This window comes from Homo sapiens, chromosome 5 (assembly GCF_000001405.40).
Source record: "Homo sapiens chromosome 5, GRCh38.p14 Primary Assembly".
Classification (NCBI taxonomy): domain Eukaryota; kingdom Metazoa; phylum Chordata; class Mammalia; order Primates; family Hominidae; genus Homo; species Homo sapiens.
This window is the reverse complement of record NC_000005.10, coordinates 96,737,461-96,759,405: the sequence shown is the minus strand read 5'-3', so window position 1 is coordinate 96,759,405 and position 21,945 is coordinate 96,737,461. Positions and strand designations below refer to the sequence as shown.

Genomic DNA, 21,945 nt, shown 5'->3' with positions numbered 1-21,945 from the left:
GATGTTTTAAAATAGTCTATTATCAATGTGATCTCAGTATTATTAGGGGAATAGTTTTAAGTGTTTCTTTTTATATAGCATTTCTGTTCTATTATATCAAAGAGCATGGTACGTACAGGAGCTACTCTTTTACAGATGAACACTAATTATGAGCCATATGTGATACTTCTCCCCCAAATTTCTTGAAACTTTCCACTAAATAACTATTTTGATTATTTGGTTCTCATGATGATTAGTTATTTCTACTTTATTAACTATATTGTTGGCACTAATGTTTCCTTTGCTAATTTTCTAAGAGTAAGATTTTTTTTAAAGGTTGTTTCATCTCACCATTTCACTGCTACATATCTTTGAAGGGGGCATATAAATCCATTGTTACTTTTTCCAAATCTTTGAATTTCTAAAAGAAAAAACAACCCTAACAATTGTAATAATAATAATGATAGGAGGAGGAAGGGAATTGAGATCTTGTTCCCCACTATTTGTTCATCTGTTCTGCCTCAGTGTAATGCTATGACTCCACATTCCTGGCGTACTCCTCACATTGTATTCTTCCCCATGTCTTATGGTTTCTAAATCAAGGCTGGAGTGCTTTGCTGTGATGTGGTCTGTATGGAAGACGATGAGAGGAAGGTCACGGGATGAGGTGACTGAGCAGCACGGTGCTTTTACAGGGGTACAGAGAATAACATGCTCTGGTTAGTAAGCTCTTCTTTGAGGGGCTTTATTGCTTCATTCAGCAAAAGTAACAACTTCAGGCAATTCCAAAGAATCATTATTTCTTCTAGTTGTCATTCTGTCTATTCTCCAACTGATATAAATATATTTTCCATGCCACTGTCATAGAAACTGTTAATCCCTTTCCAACTGACTGCTAATAATACATTCAGTGGTTTAAAAACTGAGTTCCCAGTAAACAGATAAACCAGACCCCACAAGAAAAGGTTCTGCAGTTATTAAGTTTGGGAACTCTAACAGACTCACTATATATTTGCATATAAAAAGCCATGAAAATCCTACAGTAGAGAAACCTGCTTAACATTACCCAATATTGTCCAAACTTTTCGAGTAACAGAGTTCCCTTTGAGGGACTCTATATTCCACATGGAGCTAAGTTCCCTTAGGAGGCAATTTGGGAAATGATAAATTGTAGAAATATCAATAGGTAAAGTTGTCTGAGGAGTAATTTTGGATAAGCTTACATTTAAATTCTCTTTTCATAGGGGTACTGGTACTTGATATTAGTTACACTAATAAAAGCATCCACTATGTTGGGACAGTATTTCATGGTGCAACACATTTTTAATGGCTACAGTGGGTTGAGGGCCATTAATTTTATGATTGTTCCTGAGTTCCCAAGTCAGATTCTAAGTCACCAGTTTCCATTTATTTCTGCCACTCTAAAACTAAAGAAATAGGCCAGGCGCGGTGGCTCATGCCTGTAATCCAAGCACTTTCAGAGGCCGAGGTGGGCGGATCATGAGGTTAGGAGACTGACACCAGCCTGGCCAGCATGGTGAAAGCCCGTCTCTACTAAAAATACAAAAATTAGCTGGGTGTGGTGGTGCACCCCTGTAGTCCCAGCTACTCAGGAGGCTGGGGCAGGAGAATCGCTTGAATCTGGAAGGTGGAGGTTGCGGTGACTGAAGATGGCACCACTGTACTCCCGCCTGGATGACAGAGCAAGACTCCATCTCAAAGGAAAAAAAAAAAAAAAACTAAAGAAATAAAACCAAGAGTTTTGGACTTACAAGAGATGAAGCATTTTGTGGACCAGAGAAGTCCTCAGACAAAGCATCCAGAAGGAAGTCTTCACTCATGGGCTGCAAGAACCAGGAAATGTATCAACAAACACCATTGCAATCAGGGCCAAAAGGAAAAGATATCCTCAGAGAAAACTGGTTTGCTTACTGGAAGCTGTTCCTTAGACTCTTTTGGCAGGAGTGGCTTTCCATCTTTATCCTATCCGGGGGGGAAAACACATGGCATGAAATCATTTTACATTTTATCCAAAGTATGAAACCTTGTAAACATTACAAAGGGTCTACAGGTTATACTTGCTGTTGTACATTTTAAATTAGATCCATCATGTCACGAAGGATTCTCTCACCAGAGAATATGCTCTAATTAGTTCATGGCAACAAACAGCTCACAAGCACCAGGCATTCCTGAGTCACGGGGGCTGCACACTGGATGAGGTATGGCTTGTGACCTCAGAAGCCTAGAGACTATCACAGCAGGAAAACGTGAAAGTCAGCATAGTGTGGTATGTGGTGCTGTGACTGGGGTTTGCAGGACAGTGTGGGATAAGCCCTTTACCTACATGGGGGTGGGCTTTGTAGAGGTTGTCTGGAAAATGCTGGTTAACCTTGTAAGCCACACATCTAACTCATATGCAAGGACTACATGCCAAGCCCTGACCTAAGTAAGCATTGGCAATACAACAGAAAATCGCACAAAGGCCTTGCCCTCAGGGAGTTTAACCTGTCAGTGAAACGCTCTGCAACTTATGGTTCAGATTAGGTCAAGCTGTTTATGACTCCAAGTGCCACATTTGAGTAACACGACAAAATGAAGAAAGCATGCGGGGCTCTTTAGTAAAAGGAGATCTATATACTAATAGTAAATCCCATTTATCCACCTACACAAAAATAAGTAAATACAAAGATATACATATATATGAATATTTCACCTGAGAAACTGGTTAAGGTTGGTTTTTGTTTCATTGAAAATGTGAAGTGCAATGGTTTAGAGGTACAAGTTGAGTATCCCTAATCTGAAAATCTGAAAACAATTTAAATGCTCCAAAATTTGAAACTTTTTGAGTGCTGACCTGACAACTCAAAGGAAATGCTCACGGGGGCATTTTGGATTTTCAGACTAGGGCTGCTCAACAGATACGAGGCAAATATTCCAAAATCCAGAAAAGTCTGAAATCTGAAACAGTTCTGGTCCCCAGGCATGTCAGATGAGGGATATTCAACTTGGATCACCTGTTTCCCTCATGACTGACTTTTGCCTTCTGACCATTCTTCAGGTACAGGGGAAAGCTGAACCTGGGCTTGTTCTCCACCATCTCTTAGCTGTAAAGGCAGAAAATTTCCTAAGTGATGCCTGGGACTCTGGGAGCACTTTTGCTCCCTACTCAAACTGAAATCGATTTTCCATCACTGCGTCATTCTGCGTCTGGAAGGGGAGGTTGTGGCCTGCCCTCGGGGAGCCAAATCTCACTGAGGAGACCTGATGGGAACATAGCTGGTGAATACCAACATAGGATTTAAATGAGATGAAGCTAGTGCCTGAAAATGTTATTAATAGGTAACTAATAACGTGTGAGGTAAGTCAGAGGAGGATGAAATGACTACAGAATAAAGTGATCAGGGACTGTGAATCAACTGCTTCCTTAAACACTACTACTAAATTCAGTAAAGGGAGAGAGCAAATCACCAACCAATCACCTATCATGAAGAGAGTTTACCTGCACTTGACCAGCCTCTACTGAATGGGCACTCAGTGGAGACAGAACATGTGGCCCTTAGCATGCTCTCTAGGAACTTTGCAAAGCAATGTACAAATGAGCCCAAATTAATAGAAACGCTATGGCTGCAACTGAATTGTAAAACTCAGGAAGCAAATATAAAGGTTTCCAGAATAATAAACTTTCAATCACGGATAGTTCAGTCTAGTTCCCGTGTCTGCTAAATAAATGGGCTAGTGCACATGGATGAGTGAGAAGCATGAATTTGATTTTCTAGAATTGTTAATGAAGTTTAGTTGAATACTCTTTCAAATCCTGGCCTGCTACAAAGATGACTGACATTGTTCAACTGTCCACGAATCCGCCTCATTTAAGTGACTGCACTTAAACCACAGGACTCATAATGGGGTCTTCCCCCTTGTTGTGTACAATCTGTACTTTCAAAATAGAAGAAATGGGGCAACTTAACACTATACTCAATGTTAAATAGGTTCTCTTATTTTTCCAACTTATATCTGAAAGTTGCAAATTTTTCTTATATAAAGTAATTGTTCCTTATTTTATTTTTTTTCATTTTTTACTTCTTTTTGAGTTAGGGTCTCGCTCTGTCACCCTGGCTGGAGTGCAGTGGTACGATCATGGCTCACTGCAGCCTCTACCTCCTGGGCTCAAGTGATCCTCCCACTTCAGCCTCGCAAGTACCTGGGACTACAGGCACATGCCACCATGCCTAATTTTTTTGATTTTTTTGTAGAGACAGGGTCTCATTATGTTGCCCAGGCTAGTCTTGAACTCCTGGGCTCAAGAGATGCTCCTGCCTTGGCCTTCTAAACTTCTGGGATTATAGGCATGAGCCACCATGCCCGGCCTATTCCTCATTTTAGTTCTCCTATCTACACAAGGTTTTTTAATATTTCTGGTATTGTAACAAGCTGTGGGTTAGAAAGGAAAACATTAGGTAGCTTAGACATTAGATTTCTTTCACTTGAGGATCAAGTCTACTTAGGAATATTTTAGCTTTGTATCTGGTGTTCTAACACTATTAGTAGTAGACTAATACTATTTGGTGTTTGAAATATGAAGAAACAAGATCTTTATATTCCAGTTCTGTTCCCAAGTACCTTTGTTCTGTGTATGAATTCAGTATGAATTAAAATAAAATAGAAAAAGACTCCAGCCTGTTTACCTTGACCTCTTCTAATCTATAATCAGGAGGAATTGTTTCTTCTTTTTCACCAAGCTTTTCACGGTCTTCTTCTTTGGCCTTCTCCTGAGAAAAATTATACCATTTTCATTGTTAGCATGTTTTTTTCTCTCCATAAAATTCATGCCTGAGTGACTAGATTTGAGGTAAACAAATCTATCATTAGGTTAGGAAGTACATATGACCGTATGCTTAGTGCTCCTACAGCAACTTCATCTGGCAGACTCAGGCACCAGCAGAAAGCCTGCTGGGATGCAAGACAGCTGTGAGGAGCAGCAGGCAGCTGCCCCTTCCTTCCCAAGTCCCAGCAATGTCAATGCAGGTGGGCAAAGATGAGACTCAGAGGCCTCCGGTCTGTGCATGTCGACCATCCACTGTGGGGGTTCAACACTGCAGCTTATTCAGGTTTAGCTTATTAAACAGGATATGCACAATAATAGAAAAAGCCAGCTGGTCATGTTTTACAGGAAATATAAAAAACAAAACAAATGACTAACTTATTTGCAGGGGGAGAAGGTGATCAATGATATTTATTTTCCAGAAGCATCTCAGTTGCCATTACCTTGACTTTATCCATCACAGGTTTTCCATCTTCTGGATCTGCTTCCTTTTTCCCCAGGCTATCAGCCAAGGCTTCTACAGCATCATCTGGCACTGTGCCCTTCTGAAAGTGCATTAGTGGATATATTAAGTAGGTGGTTAATCACTCCCTTTAAAACATATGCTATCAATTCAGAAAGGCATATCATTATTTCAGATAAAAGGCACACGCTATCTTTTAATAACTCGAGTTATCAACTGAATTAGAATCTATGTTTAAAAAACAAAACGTTTAACATTCGAGCAAATTTCTTATATTAAACATTGTGTGCAAATTATATGTTGATAATGTGAAACTTACGAGACCTGACCCAGAGTTGGTTTAGAAATAAGAAAGACAATGGACTGAGGTGTATCACAGATAAGTTGCATACCAGGAAAAAAGAAAGACGTGGTCTTTATGGAGATCATTCCATAGACGGCACAGGAAAGATTTTCAGAGAGCCCACAAGAGGCCATTCCTCTCCATTTCCTGTGGGACAGCCTGGCTTGTCTCAGAAGAGGAGGCTCGGAAGCCTGTTTTCTCCACAGGGCTTCTACTGACCAAAGGAGTTTCAGGGCTGGTTCTGATGACTCTGCCTGTGACCAACTAACCTGAATGGCACAGTGAGAACTGTCTACCTGTGGTCCGATTGTTCAAAATGAAATGTACTCCCCCAAATGTAATGAACTCTGGCCATGCTGGTATTTAAAATCACACTGGTGAACACAGAGGACGAATGGTGTCAAGGGAAAATAAAGGGAATCGTCTGTACATTAGTAGGTCATAAGAATCAACTTAATGGTTCATGGCCAGGACTTTTCTTTTTTAATGAAGAGAACAGGACCAGGCACAGTGGCTCACACCTGTAATCCATCACAGCATTTTGGGAGGCCAAGGCAGGAAGATTGTTTGAGCTCAGGAGTTTGAGACCAGCCGGGGCAACACAGTGAGATCCCATCTTTACAAAAAGTTTTTAAAAATTAGCCAGGCATGATGGTGCATGCCTGTAGTCCCATCTCCTCAAGAGGCTGAGGTGGGAGGATTGCTTGACCTCAGGAGGTTGAGGTTGCAGTGAGCCGAGATCATGCCATTGCAGTCCAACCTGGATGACAGAACGAGACTCTGCCTCAAAAAAAAAAAAATGTAAGAGTGTGTGTGTGTGTGTGTGTGTGTGTGTGTATAAAATGCATCATACATAGAAGGGATAAATACTATTCTTTAAACTGTTGCTTCCAGTGTATGGGGATGGGGTTGCAATATCAATGAATTTCCCACTGTTGGTCTTGGTCAAACAAAAATGTAAAAGGCCTTGGGTCAAACAATCTCAGAGTTTAATCTTATTATTAAAATCTCTGACCTCACAATGAGCACCTATTAAAATTTTAGAGTAAAACTGTATTTCTGTTTTATATTTTAGCCATGATTTCAAGTAAGAAAAGCTGTTTTTCTGATAAACTGCACTGCAAAAGGAAAGATCACCAAAGAAAAGTGATTTAGCACCACCTAGTGGCTGAATACTGCATGGGTTTTATTCCCAAGAGCTACCAAAAAAAAAAAAAAAAAAAAAAAAAAAAAAAATCCCTGAGGTTATCCCTGAGGTTTCTAACCTGTTTGGGATTATACCTAAATTAAGTATTAAGTATTAAGAGTTGCAACACTCTAATCAAGGATATCAAGAGTTGCACTGGTACCCAAGTCTTATGCAAGCAATGTGAGTTGCTACATGATTTAAGACACCTGCTCACACTACAATTCTGTTTTCTCATACTCTATGCTACAGAATCTTTGGAAACCACTGCTTCCCCAAACCTGTGCCCTTTGCCAACCTCTTGCTTAAGAAATTACTGAAACAGTTAAAGAAAACCTAGGAGAAGAAGCAGACTTAAGAACAAAGGAATCTGGAAACAGGAGTAAGGACTAAAACTTCTATTTCTGTAGTATTTGATATTATCAAATTCACAACTACAACTCAGGTCTCTGGGTTTCCTTAATAAATTTTCTTTTATACACACAAGAACCACCTAGGGAACGCATTCATCTCCTTCCTCTGGTCTGTCTTCCTTTACTCTCTAATCTTCATGCCTTTCTTGAGTCCTCTGACCTTTATTACACTCTACAGCTATTCTTTCTGGCGTTCGAGGGTGTCACAATCCCAGAAATGCCAACTGCCTCAGTGACAGTAACCTGGGCAACCATGGCCAGAGTTGGTGGGGTTAAGGCCCTGGAAAGGAGGACGGGGAAAGGGAAAACAAGAGCTTTTTGTTTTGTTCTGGTTTGTCTGCTTTCTAACAATCCAATGCTCAGCTCTACAGTCAGGGTAAAGTTGAAAAGGAATTGAGCCCTCTAAAGCCCGGGCAGTCACACTTGGCAGATGAGGCAGGTGGTGCAGGTGCAGGTTTTGGTTACAAGAGTTCTACTGGGGAATGCTGGCTATTGTTGTTTTGACTCCAATCACAGCCTCTTTGCCTGCTTTCTTCACCAGAGTCCTCCTAGAGTCCCTCCTCCTCTCCGGTTCTTTACCACTGTGGCCTAGCACACATGCTGTAAAAAGTACCTGAAGAGTACCCTGAAACCCCAAAAAACTGGGGAGGGCTCATATCCACACTAGTCTTGAAGACAGCTGAGAGCAGGGGCCATATCTTTCATCTCAACTGAGGCTCTGAAATATCAAGTGGATCAAGGTCAACTCAAAGCCTCATTTCCCTTATCTATTACAGGAAGATGATCAGGACAGACTTCATAGTGTCCTTGTGAAAATTTAATGAGAAGACATTGCAAAACATCTAGAGCAATGGCACAGCAGATGATGAAAGGTAGGTGTTCAGAGGGAAGATGTGCTAATTCTGTAGTAATGAAATACAATTGAAATATAATTCCATCAGATGTTATTCCCTGAGTCAAATTCAATCATTAACTAATGGAAAAAAAACACTAAAATCAAAAGGAAACAAAGATTCACCTTCTTAAATATCATACTTCATGTGAAAATTAGAAAGTGAGAGAGAAGCACGAAAAGAAGAAGGAAAGAGAAAGAAATTGAGTCAGTTTCACCTCCTGCAGTGGGAAGAGTGGGGAGGAATCATAATGATTTTACTGCATGTTATTCTACCAGGAAAGTCAGTAAAAAAGTAACTTTGGGCTTTCGGTGGAAATCCATATAGGCTTAAAAGATGCAGAGAAGTGAAAAGGCAGGATTATCCACAATAGCTGAGGAACTAGAATTTCAGAAGAGTAGAGAAAAATACAGTTGGGAGTAATTTAATTAAAAATTTAAATCTTAGTCTGAATTTCTACGACACCCCTGAAGCCCAAAGAAACAACAGATACTATAATGATATCAGATTTTATTTTTAATTTGTCAGGATAAGATAAAATGATGGTAATACACAGCAGAGAGTGACAGGAGGAGGCAGAAAACTTTCTCAAGCCACTGCTCAAATGCCCAGGGAGTCACTCACCAAGGTAGCCGGCTCAGGGGGTGCTGACTGTATACTACACATGGAGGTCCGACACACAGCCTCCGACACAGGAGCTGGAGCAGCGGCCTTAGATTCCTGAGGAAAGACACAAGTACTCTCAATAAGTTTAGAAATATTTGGTTAATAAGACTGAGTAATGGTAGACCAACAAGACACTCCGCTACATTATATGGTGTGAACATGATTCTCTTGAATACCTAAGGATTGCTAAATAGTAAATAAGTCAAAGCATGCTAAAACTCTTCAGCTGCCATTTTTTTCAACTTGGTTTTACTTCTCACCTTAGGCAGGTTACTGAAACTCGTGAAACTGAGTTTCCACATGTGTAAAATGAGAACAATGACAGTATCCACATCTGAAGGGTTGGTAAGAGGCCTATATAAGACAATGCAGGCAAAGTGCTATGCATAGTACCTGGGAACACAGTTAGCTCAATACATTTGAGCAATTATTGCTATTATTTCTATTATTTATTTGTCATTATGTATAACAAATATGCCTATTATGTAATATAGCATTATGTAAAATATTGTATTTATATAAACCTAAGAGCACTTTATATACAGCTATGTAGGAATGGAAGGTAGTAGTAATAAGCCACAAGTTTTGGAAGTGTAATCCCTGAACTAACAGCCTCAGCACCATAAGGGAACCTAGAAATGCGGATTCTTAGACCCCTGCCCCATGTACTAAGAAACTTTGGGGGTAGAGTCTAGCAGCCTGTGTTTAAAAAAAAACTCTCCAGATGATCCTGATGCATGCTAAAGTTTGAGAACCACTGTCCCATCTTATTTTATCACAAGAATAAAGTTTCAAGGCTGGGTGTGGTGGCTCATGCCTGTGATCCCAGCACTTTGGGAGGCCAAGGAGGGTGGATCACTGGAGTCCAGGAGTTTGAATCAGCCTGGGCAACATGGCCAAACCCCAGCTCTGCAGAAAATACAAAAATTAGCCAGGCATGGTGGCATGCACCTGTAGTCTCAGCTACTCAGGAGGCTGAGGCGAGAGAATTGCTTGGGCCTGGAAGATTGAGGCTGGAGTGAGCCAAGACTGTGCCACTACACTCCCAGCTGGGAGAGAGAGTGAGACCCTATCTCAAGAAAAAACAAAACAAAACAAACAAACAAAAAGAACAGAAGCAAACCTTTAAACAAATTGTTTTAAATCTAGACTTTTATGGAAGCCTATCCTATATGCAAGGTGCTCAGCAGATGGTCATTAATAGGATATGATCTCTTCGTTCAAGGAACTTACTACCCATTTAAACTTGGCATAAATGTTAGAGTTAAAGAGGGACTAAAACAGCTAAACTCTTCTTTGTAACAAAGGCTTTAATAGTGATATATAAAAAAAGAACTACAGATCCTCTGCCATGTTGTGTTCTGCTTAATAAAGGTTGGATGGATATAGCTTAGGGAGGGAAAAGCAGCAGATAAAGCCATATTTCAGCAGAGCCTTGAAAAGATGAGTAAGACTTTAGTTGATCTAGCATTAGAAAGAAAGGTCAATCAAGACAGAGGAACCAAGTGAGAAAAGCCAGGGATGCACACATACTTATTGTTCTGTTTACTGACACAGGGACACAGTTTGGTAGGAAAGAAAACTGGGTCAAGAATATGGTAATAGGAACTTTTTTTTGTAGGGATGGGAAACTCCTGGGGATAGAAGCAGAGGAATGACATAACTACAGACATGCTTGAGAAAGAATGAGTCCGGCGGACATGAAGGAGACTGCAGAAAGGCCACTGCAACCCAGAGGGGAGGGGTGGTGACAGTTCCAATCAGGTCAGTTACAGAAGCTGGGATAAGAAGGAAGGCATGGGTTCCAGAGCTTTCCGAAGGAGTCATTGCAGGACTTCAATTGCAAGAATATCAGGGTTAGGTTGGGGCAGAAAGCACATCCAAAAAGGAAGACAAAAATGACATGGAAAAAACGATGGCATATTGGGCTTTCTAACAGACTGCTTGATGCTAAAACAGTCTGTCTCACAATTTTTTTTTAAGATCACAAACCTCAAAACTAGAGATTTATATGTTTAGAAACATACTTCTGTCTTTTCAGTTGGCTTAGATGGTTTCTCTTTACATTCAGACCGGTCAAAATCTTCTGAAAGTTCATCAATGAGTTCTGATTCACTCCGAGGCTGTAATATAAGAAGTGCTGTATATTACAAGGGGACTCTTTTTTATTTTGTAAAAAAAAAGTTTTCATGGAGCAATTTTTTTCCTGATTAACACATATGAGGCCATACTTAACACCCAAAGCTAATTTATAAAGGGCATATTTTTTCATTTATCAACGTTAAGATAAAATTTTCATGAAACAATTAAGAAATACTAAACACCTCAGGACCAAAGTATTAATGGTTTATTTGGTCAAACATTCCCTTGATGTTTCAGTTTCAGAAGAATTTTGTTCAAATAAAATTGCCTGTTCTCTACAATGAAGATCTGTATAATTTTTTTAAATGTGATTATTATTTTCCTATTTCCTCATGACTTCTCTTCTGAATAAGTCAAAACACGGATGATATACTCCGTTTCTATGATTATGCAGGATTTTGGCAGCAAAGTTCTGCTACCCCTTGTTCTTTCAGGAGAGTGGTATTAGTTTAGGGCATGTGGAGATTGTCACTAACAACAGTAACATGATAGAAGGGCATGTGATTCAGACGCTGGGACTCAGACCAGACAGCCTGAGTTCTAAGTCCTGGGCTTGGCTTGCTATTTTATAGCCCCTTGACCTTGGGCTATTTACATAGGCCCTCTGTGTCTCAATTTCCTCACTGTAAAATGGGAATAATAACAGTACCGTCCTCATTCATTGAGGACTCACAAAGATAATATCCAAAAAGCATTTGGTGCAGTGCCAGGTGCATAGCAAGCGATTAATAAATGTTGCTGATTGTATGTGACAGGTTACTACCAACTTAAGGCAAAATAGAATCATTAGAGAATTTGATCAGGATGGAACTCTAAGTGCTAGCTTAATCTGACTTAAGGGCCCTCTTGACATCAGTTTCTAGTGTGCAATAAATTTTACCTAGAAATTTATAGTCTAGTAATGATTTATGAGGAAGATCATCTTTAAAATATATGGAAAGGAGCTACAGGTATCAGCCAAGTGTTACCATCAGAAGTTCCCCTTTCCTCTGTACTAGGTTAGCATGCAAGTCTGCACAGTGAATTCCAGACTGTCAAAATTATCTTAATTCATACTTTACATGTCTATTGTTCTTTAAGTATCAGAAAAAAATGTATTTCCTAACCTTGGGTTTTTCTTCAGGCTCTGGCAATAGTGGTTTTCCATCTTTATCCTGTAAATGAAATTAAAATTCATTGGAAATGAAATAGAAAATTTTGCTTTCATGTCCCATCAAGTTTGTTTCTGGGAATTCCAGGATATGAAATGTCAGCTAATTTTTTTCTTAGATTTACATGAGTTTGTGTTTCAGATTTACTTTTTATAAAGTATAAAAAAAGGAGTTGAGCTATAAAAATCGAGATGTTACCAAGCAGAATGCACATTTACTTTAAGTTATTAAAAATGTTTTTAATCTGTTGGGTAGAGTAATAGGAAAAAAAAGTTCTTTGGCAATAAAGATGTAGCTATGTTAATCGAAGCTTTTAAAAAACCCCAATTCTCCAACCTAGAGTGAAGAGGTGGATATCATTCCTATAACACTGTTTAGTTTTTTTGGATATGAGGTTTCATAACTTAGAATTGTAACTATATTCCAACATGTGTTTATATGCATGATTTCAAAAGTAAATGACAAATGTAATGACAGGAGTTAGTCTACCATCCTCACCATAATCAAAAACAACAGCAACAAAACCACCTTCACTTAGGATACTGGTAAACCCTCGTGCATTCATATCTACCCCTCAGAAGACCTATGGTGCTTTTATCCATATAGCAGTTAGAAAAGAAATTATCCCCAAATTGTTCCTTCTGAGTTTTGGGATCTATTGTAAGAACTGTTAATAAACGAAACATTTAAATCTGTGGGAATTTAAATGAACACATGGTCACTACTTAGGAAGCCAGGCAGGGACAAACCATCCCTCAAGGGGTCTAACTGTAGGGAGCAGAGAAAAAAAGGTTCAGGGTTTTCAGAGTTAATATCTGAATGGGGGACAGACATGTCCTTTGACAATGTCAAGGGTACAGATACAACAAAACAAGATGCAAAGGCAAGATGCTGTTGTCATGCACTGTGGCTAAAAATTTACCGTGGCTGGTTTTAATCTGTACTCAGATGGGATTGTTTCATCATCCTCACCACACTTCTCTAGTTTTTCTTCTTTAGCTTTTGCCTGATGAAAATGGAGGGGAAAAAAAAAGTAGTTGGATAATGCACATAATGAGATGATATCACTTCCTCTGTGTACTTCTCGAGTGTTATAGAGAAGACCAAATCTGGTAAAAGCATCTGGAAGAGCCTTGTAAACTACAAAGCACAAGACGATGGTGGGCAGCTGTGAGAAAGGGAGCAGTGGGTGACTGAGCAAAAGTAGCCCAGCCAGGGATCCTGGGCAACTGCCCTGTTCTGCTCCCAGCTGCTGTGACCTTGGGAAGCCACTTAGCCTTTATTTGGTCCAGTTTCTTCAGCTGTAAAATGTGGCTACTAATAACCCTTATCTAGCTCACTGACTTGTGAAGATCACCAGAGAAAAGTAAATAAAAGATCCTTTGAAGACAGTAAGCACAGTGCAGCAGTTAGTTGCAATTATTTTAATGGCCTTCATCTGTCTTACTCAACGAGGCAGCTGTCTAAGGAAGGGAGAGGAAACACGACTAATTTTCACATTAAACCCAGTTCAGATATGGGAGAAGCGGCCCATCACAAATCTTGGCTGATCCATGGATAACTTGTTTTACCTCTTTTAAAAGGACTCTCTTCAATAATGCCAGGACTTCTCTAGCTTACTGAACCATGAACAACTAGCTGCATTACAAATAAAAGCATAGTTCTATAGTAGATCACTGACTGCTAGGACACAACACTTGCAATTTAACCTGCTGGTGGGTAGTGTGAAGTTCCATAATATGTAAGAATTTGTACCTATATAAAGGTGTGGATTTAATTTACTAACCAAGGTAGGAGGTTCACTTGGCATATTCCAACCCAACCCACGGCCCCCATCTGCATCTTAGCCTAAGAGTGTGGTTCTTAAACAATTGTAATTAGTAACATTTAAACAGGATACGCACAATAATAGAGAAAGTCAGCTGGTCATGTTTTACAGGAAATATAAAAAACAAAACAAATGAAAACATTTAAACATTAAATGTAACTAAACCCACTGATTGGTTAGTTGATTAATTACTACTTATTGAGCACTTTTAATGGACCAGGCACTGTTCTATGCTTTGGGATTAGTTTCACTGTTTTATAGAGAAGCTCTCATTAAAGGATGAAGTCATGGTTTTCTTTTAAACATTTCCAGTCACGCTCTATTTCGGCATCTGGAGAAATCCTGTCATGGAGCAGCACTCCCCAGGTCAAGGCACAGCGGCCTTCATGAACATCCAGGGTCACCTGTATTAAGACGGTCCTCCCCACTAATCTCAGGCTGTGGACAGTGAAAGTTACACATGCGGCCAGAGCTTTTATTTTCCTCTTTGATCTTTATAGTCTTGAAATGCCTGCTCTGGTTTGTATACAGTAGGCATCGAAAAAAAAGAGCCTACTGAATTGAAATGGCACTAGACTAGGCAGCCACACCTAAAAATGTGGGAGACTTATAATGGGCTATCATTAGAGAATAAAAAACTTTTATTTTATGTTATGGTAGATGATGGGAATACCAAGTAGGCATGGGTTTCCTCTCTGGAGTATTGTGTGGTTTTCCACAGATAGCTCTCTATTCTGGGGTATGCTGGGGTGGCAGTGGACACTCCTACAGGCTGACAGTGACCTTCCTGAGCCTTCTCATCACATCAGACTATCTAGGATGTAAAGGACCCACTAAGTCGGGTACTAAGAATTCAGGTTAATAATCTAGAGGACTGAAAGATCCTCTTTAGAAACATTCATACTTTGTATATGATTAAAAAGGAAAACTAGTGATATGCTTTGGCTGTGTCCCCACCCAAATCTCATCTTGAATTGTAGCTCCCATAATTCCCACGTGTCGTGGGAGGGACCCAGTGGGAGGTAATTGAATCATGGGGGCGGAGCTCTCCTGTACTGTTCTCATGATAGTGAATAATTCTCACTAGATCTGATGGTTTTATAAAGGGGAGTTCCCCTGCACATGCTCTTTTACTTTCCTCCATGTAAGACGTGACTTTGCTCCTCATTCACTTTCCACCGTAATTATGAGGCCTCCCTAGCCATGAGGAACTGTGAGTCAATTAAACTTCTTTCCTTTATACATTACCCAGTCTCTGGTATGTCTTTATTAGCAGCATGAGAACAGACTAATACAACTATTATGTCATAAGAGTGGAAAAGAGGAGTTCTTTTTGCTGGAATTTTAGTTTGCTGCGACTCTGAAGTTTTCTAGAGGGAACTTAATACATTCATATGCATTCCCAAACTAGTTACCCACATGTTTAAATAACTTATTTTATGTCACTTTTTTTCTTAACATCTGCTTATCTGCTTTTAGTCACTTTTAAGACTCCTTTGATCCTGAGGTTTATGACATGTTTATACCCTCCCTTCCCACATTAATTGTCTCTCCTTAAGTGTCTGTAAGAAGCTTGGGGCAGAAGTGCAATATACTTGTGGCCCTGTCGCCCTCAGGTGGTAAAGCCACAACTCAGCTTGGCCTCCTGACTCCCCCCAGGATTCTGCCAACACCCCGCTTTCCTCAAGATGACACTGCTTCTGTCGGCTACTCTAAGTAATGTATATCTCACATTGTGTTGTAATCAAGTTTCCCTTCTTCCCAATACATTACTTGGTCCTGGAAGATACGAACTGCTTCTCTTGCTCCTCTGCGTTCACCGTCACAAAGCTTATCGTGCCACACTGTGGCCGGTGAGCCCTCCAAGAAAGTCGAAGATAGAAACTGGCCCATCTTAGGCCAGGGCAGTCCCAGACTCAAGGATTGTTGCTGGAAGTCAGGGAGACTCCCCTTCCCTGATGACTCAGAACAGGAAGTGACAGCAGAGATGGGGCATTGTGACAGCAATGCCTGCCAGCACCCCCAGCCTGAGCTGATGGAGGTGGGGCGGGCTCCTGGGGATCCCAGGCTACCTTTCCATCTCCCCACAACACTGCCTTGTCAGGAACCGGCAACTCTCTCCTTTCCTTCCTCTTTCACCCCAGAGGACTGAGTTGAAAAATTCCACAAAAATTATAATTTAATATTAAAACTTTCGTACACCAGATGTAAGCTTGTTTTGGTTCAGAAGGCTTGTTAAGATCTTGGAGTGTGGCGGGATAAACACTCATCAGCATTATTCTATAAATATGCAGGAGCTCTAGTTAGGGTAATTGTTGCTTGATTTTAATTTGAGACAAAATTTTCAACATCTTTCCCCATAGTGATAAATGAAGGATCTTCCCACTCCGTGTATAGACATCTCCTTCTCTTATAAACAGAAGCACCCAGAACCCTTCTGAAAATACAAATTTCCAATTGCCAAACTTCACTATTTCCCACCAGGCATTGCCTCCTTGTTACCTTGTTTAGTCAAGGGTCATTTAAGCTCTAGCAAGGGAGATTCGTGTTCATTTCAAATGTTAAAATTCTAGCTGTTTCACAAGTCAGTCATGTAACTATCCCCCTTAGTTGCTAACCACTCAGCAATAAATAAGGCACAATGAAGAATGCTCACTTTTACTCTCCAATAAAAGTTGTGCGAGAATTCTAAACATGCAGAGTGCATTCGGTTTTGTAATGTGCAGACTAACAAGCTTTGTAAATCAACTCTAAGGTCAGTACCTCATCGACTTCCTTAATTGAGCGGAGGTCGAGCTCAGGTTCTGCTTGCCGGGTGCCCAGTGAAGCCGACAGAGCCTCGAGTGCTTGATCACTCATTGTATCCTGTTAAAAGTAAAAAATCCTGTGCATGAAAAAAGACATCTCTGGAGCCCGAACAATCCATTTACTTCTTTGTAAAATACATTTTAGATTATAAACTGAATATGGATTGGGGAAGTGCTCTAGAAAGGCAATTTTATTTGAAACCTTGCAAAAGAGAGAAAGGAAAAAGAACTTACCAATGAGTGGAAATTGGGGCTAAGACACGTTTCTACAGTAACAGCGTTCTCTGGGGCACACTTCACCCCTTATTTGGTAAGCTAGACATAAAGCTATAGTAATATTACTATAAAATACTCTAAACAAACAAAAAAAAAAGAAGCAAGTAGTAAACTGTTACCACACTATTTTTCTTTTTCTAAAAATGTATCTCTAAAAAGGCTTCTGACAACCTAAGCTTAGGAAGCAGGGAAGCTTGAAGTGGCCCCTGCTGCCTTCTTCTCTGAAGGCACAATGGCTGATCGTTGTAGGAACTCCCACTCTCAGGGGTGTGGTACTCACCACTGTTCCCCAGCCTGCCAGATAAAAATAAACTGTCCACTCCAGGAGGGGAGAGGCACAAGCTGCTCTGATAGAAACCGTTCCTGAGCATTATCTTGACTGTTTGCAGAGGAGACATGTGTTCCCAGCCAGCACAGAGCTGCAGGATTGCCTTTTGCGATTTGTGAGAATTATGTCATAGTGAAATATAGTTGAGAATGCTGGGCAGTACCAGCTACTTGGTGTCCCTCTAGTGATCCTCAGGGCTCAAAGTCCTTTATACAATCAAACTTGAAGGTTTTATGTTCCAAGAGTGCAATTTCTCTGGTTTCTGCCCTTCTGTGTATCATAATGGTGAGATGGTCTTAGATGATGACTGAGACAACTGTGCTAAAATCATTCACAAGCAGTTACAGAAACACACAAGGCTTGCCTGGAGATGATCAACATAACCCTCATTGGCTTCACTATTCCACATAGACCTGAGAGGGAAAAAATCATGGCTTCTCATCATGGGTTATGTGCTACTGGCAGTTTCCTGAATGAGCTAGATCAGGCTCTGGAAAGCAACTGCTGTCAGGTAGACTGTGACTATACCTTCTCCACCTTTCTTTTCTTCTCTTGGGGTGGAGCAGCACTTCTGACTGTCCCTGCTGACTGAGCTTTTAAAACTTCTGTAGATTCCTGAAAAACAAAATACAAAAGATTAGACTTACAGATGAGGAAAGTTTAACTGTAATAGCCTGAACTAAAAAGTTATTCTTTTAAAGTTCAAAATAGTTCCTAACAAGTTTCCCTTAACAACACTAAAAACAATACCTCTTTTTCAGTTTTCTTTCCAGCAGCTGTAGGCGACCCACAGGTGAAGTCAGATGACAAGGCGTCTATAGCATCATCTGGCCCTATGGGTTTCTAAAGAAACAGGCACAGTGATGGGTAACTTACGGGAAGCACTCAAGTGGAAGAATGGATCATAAACCTAGCAAATGAAGAATGCACTTTTCCAATTCCCTTGCTACCAAATGAGGTGTGTTAATGAAACAACTTAGATCAAAGTGTATGTTTTGAAGAGAGTGGCTACTCATTGAGTATTATTTTCCACTTCCCCCTTTCAAAAGGAGTTACATTCTCATTCTATTATTATGAACATGCATAATATTCTATCCTAATACTTTCTCGCCTTCTTTCTCCTTTCCCTCAAAAAACCTACTTATGAGACTCAGGAGCACTGAGACAACCCTCCCACCAACCCCTTTCTCTGAACACACAGAAACTCCATTTGATTTGGAGATGAGTTAAGTCATAATCCTCAAATATAGAATTGATAGCCCTGTTCCCCCAGCCAAAAATATAAAACTATTAATTTAGATCAGAAGACATGTATGTAAACTCACCGAAGAGTCTGCAGGAGGCCCTGTGATCCCTTCCTTTTTCTGAAACAAATATTAATTTGATGATGTTGAGAAGGTAGAATTAATCCTTAAGATCGGCAAAATGTATTGCCCGTTGTGGGTTGAATTGTGCCTCCCACCCCAGATCTATATGTTCAAGTCTTAACCCCAGTACCTCAAAACGAGACCTGATTTTGAGATAGGTTCCTTATAGAATCAAGTAAAGGTGAGGTCATTAGGGTGGGCCCTACTCCAATATGATGCGCGTCCTTATAAAAAGGGGAAATTTGGACCCAGAGATATGCATAGAAGCACAGAAGGAAGACGGTGTGTAGAGACACGGGAAGAAGACGGCCATCTATAAGCCAAGAATAGGCCTCAAAGATACCTTTCCCTCACAGCCCTCAGAAGGAACCAGCACTGCTGACACCTTGATTCTAGACTTCCAGCCTCCAGAACTGTGAGACAATCAATCTCTTGTTTATGCCCCGATCTGTGGTACTTTCTTAACAGCAGCCCCAGCCAACCAATGCAGCGAGCTTCATAGTAATGACAATTTCACAAGCACCATTATATTTTCTAACTTCTAAACACTGTAAAAATATTGACATGAAATTATTTTCTAAAGAGGAAACAGTGAAATAAAAGTAAATGATTATTTAACTTACAGCCAATAGTTCCCTATATTTTGGAGGAATTGTGACTTCTCTTTTACCCAATTCCTCTATGTAGGTGGAACTCATTGGATCCTGGAACAAAATCATACACATAGGGATATTATATAATTAATTACCTGACAATGCTATATGCATATTCTGAAACTAAAGCACTATTCCATTATTAATTTATGGAAGTACTGAGATGAACGATAAATCATTAAGAAGCCAACACTTTATACAACTACATTTCTAAGTTTACACAAATACCCATATTTAATTGGCTTAACTCATATGTAATGCTAGAAAATATTCAAAATACTAAAGTTGACTTCTAAATACATTTTGTTTTCAAATGTTTTCATTATCTAAGGTTTCTAACCAATACAAAAGAGCAGTTAATAAGATAATGAGTTTATGTATAACCCAATACCCAACTCTATCAGCTTTGTCATTTCTAAGAAAACAAAATCATAGAGTGGATGTCTCCTGTTTAGCATTCTCAAACCTAATTCCCTTTCCCTGTTAATCAGAAATAGCCACCATTCTGAACTTTAGCATATCAATTTAAAGTTATTTTAGAACATTTTTTACATATGTAGGTAACCATAAACAACGTCCAGCATTACTTTGCATATTTTCCAATGTTATATAAATGGTATCATATTCTACATATCATTCTGCATTTTTTATTCAAAATTATGTTTTTGTAATGTATCCATGTTGATACATGAATAATCCATTTTAACCACTATAAAGCACTGAATTTTATTATCCTGTCCTCTATTGAACAAAATTGTTTCCAAACATTTCACCAGTTCTTATAACTCCTTGCACACATGGGCAAGGCTCCCTCCTGGCAATCTCTCTACAGGTGGACTTCCTGGTTGAAGGGAATGTTCATCATGAACACCCACCAGCTATAGGAAAACTATAGGAATTGTCAGACTTTCACGCTTTTGCTAATCTGATAAATGCAAAGCAGTGTTTCTTCTGTGTTTTAGTATCATTATCCTAATTACTAAGGAGAGTTTCATTTTACTTGCTTATTGGTCAGTCAAGTTTTCTCTCGATTTTCTATTGGGTTGTCTTTTTCTGTTTTTTATTCTTTATAAATTCTAGAAACAAACCCTTTGTTATGTCTGTTGCAAATATTTTTGTCTAGCCTATGGCGTGTCTTTTTTTTTTTTTTTTTGAGATGGAGTCTCATCCATGTTGCCCAGGCTGGAGTGCAATGGCATGATCCCAGCTAACTGCAACCACTGCCTCCCGGGTTCAAGCAGTTCTCCTGCCTCAGCCTCCTGAGTAGCTGGGATTACAGCCATGCGCCAACATTCCTGACTAATTTTTTTGTATTTTTAGTAGAGACAGGGTTTCACCATGTTGGCTAGGCTGGTCTTGAACTCCTGACCTCAGATGATCCGCCTGCCTCGGCCTCCCAAAGTGCTGGGATTACAGGTGTGAGCCACCATGCCTGGCTGGCATGTCTTTTTTTTAATACCAAGGAAAATATAATTTTAGGAATTAGGAATAGGGATAAACTGAGGGTGGTAAATATCGAGAAATCAAAACAAGTTCTAGTCCATTATACTTAAATCTTGAGGATGGAAAATAAGTGTGTGACCCAGTGGACCGTGTCCCAGTGTCAATCTTAGCACAACAACAAATGTTTGCTAACTCAATGTTATAATGCAGCTGCCAAAAGACAATTTCCATCCCCGATACTAATTTTTAGTTGCTGTGTTGATGTTGATACTGACATCATCCTGTTTCTATGCAAATGACAGAACACTAGATACTCTTTTTTTTGAGATGGAGTCTCGCTCTGTCGCCCAAACTGGAGTGCAGTGGTGCGATCTCAGCTCGCTGCAACCTCTGCCTCCTGGGTTCAAGTGATTCTCCTGCCTCAGCTTCCCAAGTAGCTGGGATTACAGGCGTGTACCACCATGCCCAGCTAATTTTTGTATTTTTAGTAAGGACAGGGTTTCACCATGTTGGCCAGGCTGGTCTTGAATGCCTGACTTCAAGAAATCTGCCTGCCTCGGCCTCCCAAAGTGCTGGGATTACAGATGTGAGCCACTGCGCCTGGCCTCACTAGGTATTCTTTTGTACTTCATGACCATGGCCTTATTTGCTCTCCTACCCACTGAGTATGAATTTTTACAGATATCATGATCACATACTGAAACTTCTGGTCCAGTATACGTTGTATTTTCTTCTTCAGTTTCTTCAGGTCCTCCTAAAGTATCTATTAAGTCATCCAAAGCAGCATCCATGCCTGACTGGAAAAGAAAGAACAGATATTTAAATGTTATTTGTTATACATATTTCACCTTTAGTTTAACTACAAAAAAAGCCATTCTGTGTAGAAAAACCACCAAACACCAAAAGTTCTTCAAATAGTTCCCCAAAATAGTTAAAATCTGGTCTTTAACAGACTTTACTATTTAAGTCTCAAAGTACAAATTCTAGGTTGGAAAGATGAAAAGCCACATTCAGGCAAGAAGCACAGTTTCAACAAGTCTACAGGCATTACATACATGAACAAATGTACAAGTTCATTAAAGCTGCCAGTCCGATGCACTGACAGTTAAAAAAGGAAAAACAAAACAAAACAAAACAAAATACAGGGAATTATAACCATGTTGCTCTAAGCGATAAGGGAAATGC

At 39.8% G+C, this 21,945-nt stretch overlaps 1 protein-coding gene across 34 annotated transcripts in view; it reads right to left on the bottom strand.

Moving 5' to 3' along the window:
• The window catches only part of CAST (calpastatin), an 813,255-nt gene that overhangs the window by 15,278 nt on the left and 776,032 nt on the right, over positions 1-21,945 (bottom strand). For 17 of the 34 annotated variants that reach the window (NM_001423254.1, NM_001423253.1, NM_001423250.1 and 14 more), the window contains 14 exons: positions 21,459-21,557; positions 19,288-19,368; positions 18,623-18,661; positions 18,048-18,140; positions 17,826-17,912; positions 16,650-16,751; positions 12,981-13,064; positions 12,014-12,061; positions 10,793-10,888; positions 8,724-8,819; positions 5,245-5,346; positions 4,665-4,748; positions 1,912-1,962; positions 1,752-1,823 (listed from right to left, as the gene is read on the bottom strand). In NM_001423254.1, coding sequence (NP_001410183.1) covers positions 1,752-1,823; positions 1,912-1,962; positions 4,665-4,748; positions 5,245-5,346; positions 8,724-8,819; positions 10,793-10,888; positions 12,014-12,061; positions 12,981-13,064; positions 16,650-16,751; positions 17,826-17,912; positions 18,048-18,140; positions 18,623-18,661; positions 19,288-19,368; positions 21,459-21,557 — 1,134 coding nt within the window. Of the gene's footprint in view, positions 1-1,751; positions 1,824-1,911; positions 1,963-4,664; positions 4,749-5,244; positions 5,347-8,723; positions 8,820-10,792; positions 10,889-12,013; positions 12,062-12,980; positions 13,065-15,659; positions 15,805-16,649; positions 16,752-17,825; positions 17,913-18,047; positions 18,141-18,622; positions 18,662-19,287; positions 19,369-21,458; positions 21,558-21,945 lie in introns of those variants that run through there. The other 17 variants (NM_001423259.1, NM_001423255.1, NM_001423251.1 and 14 more) reach the window with 2 other exon arrangements.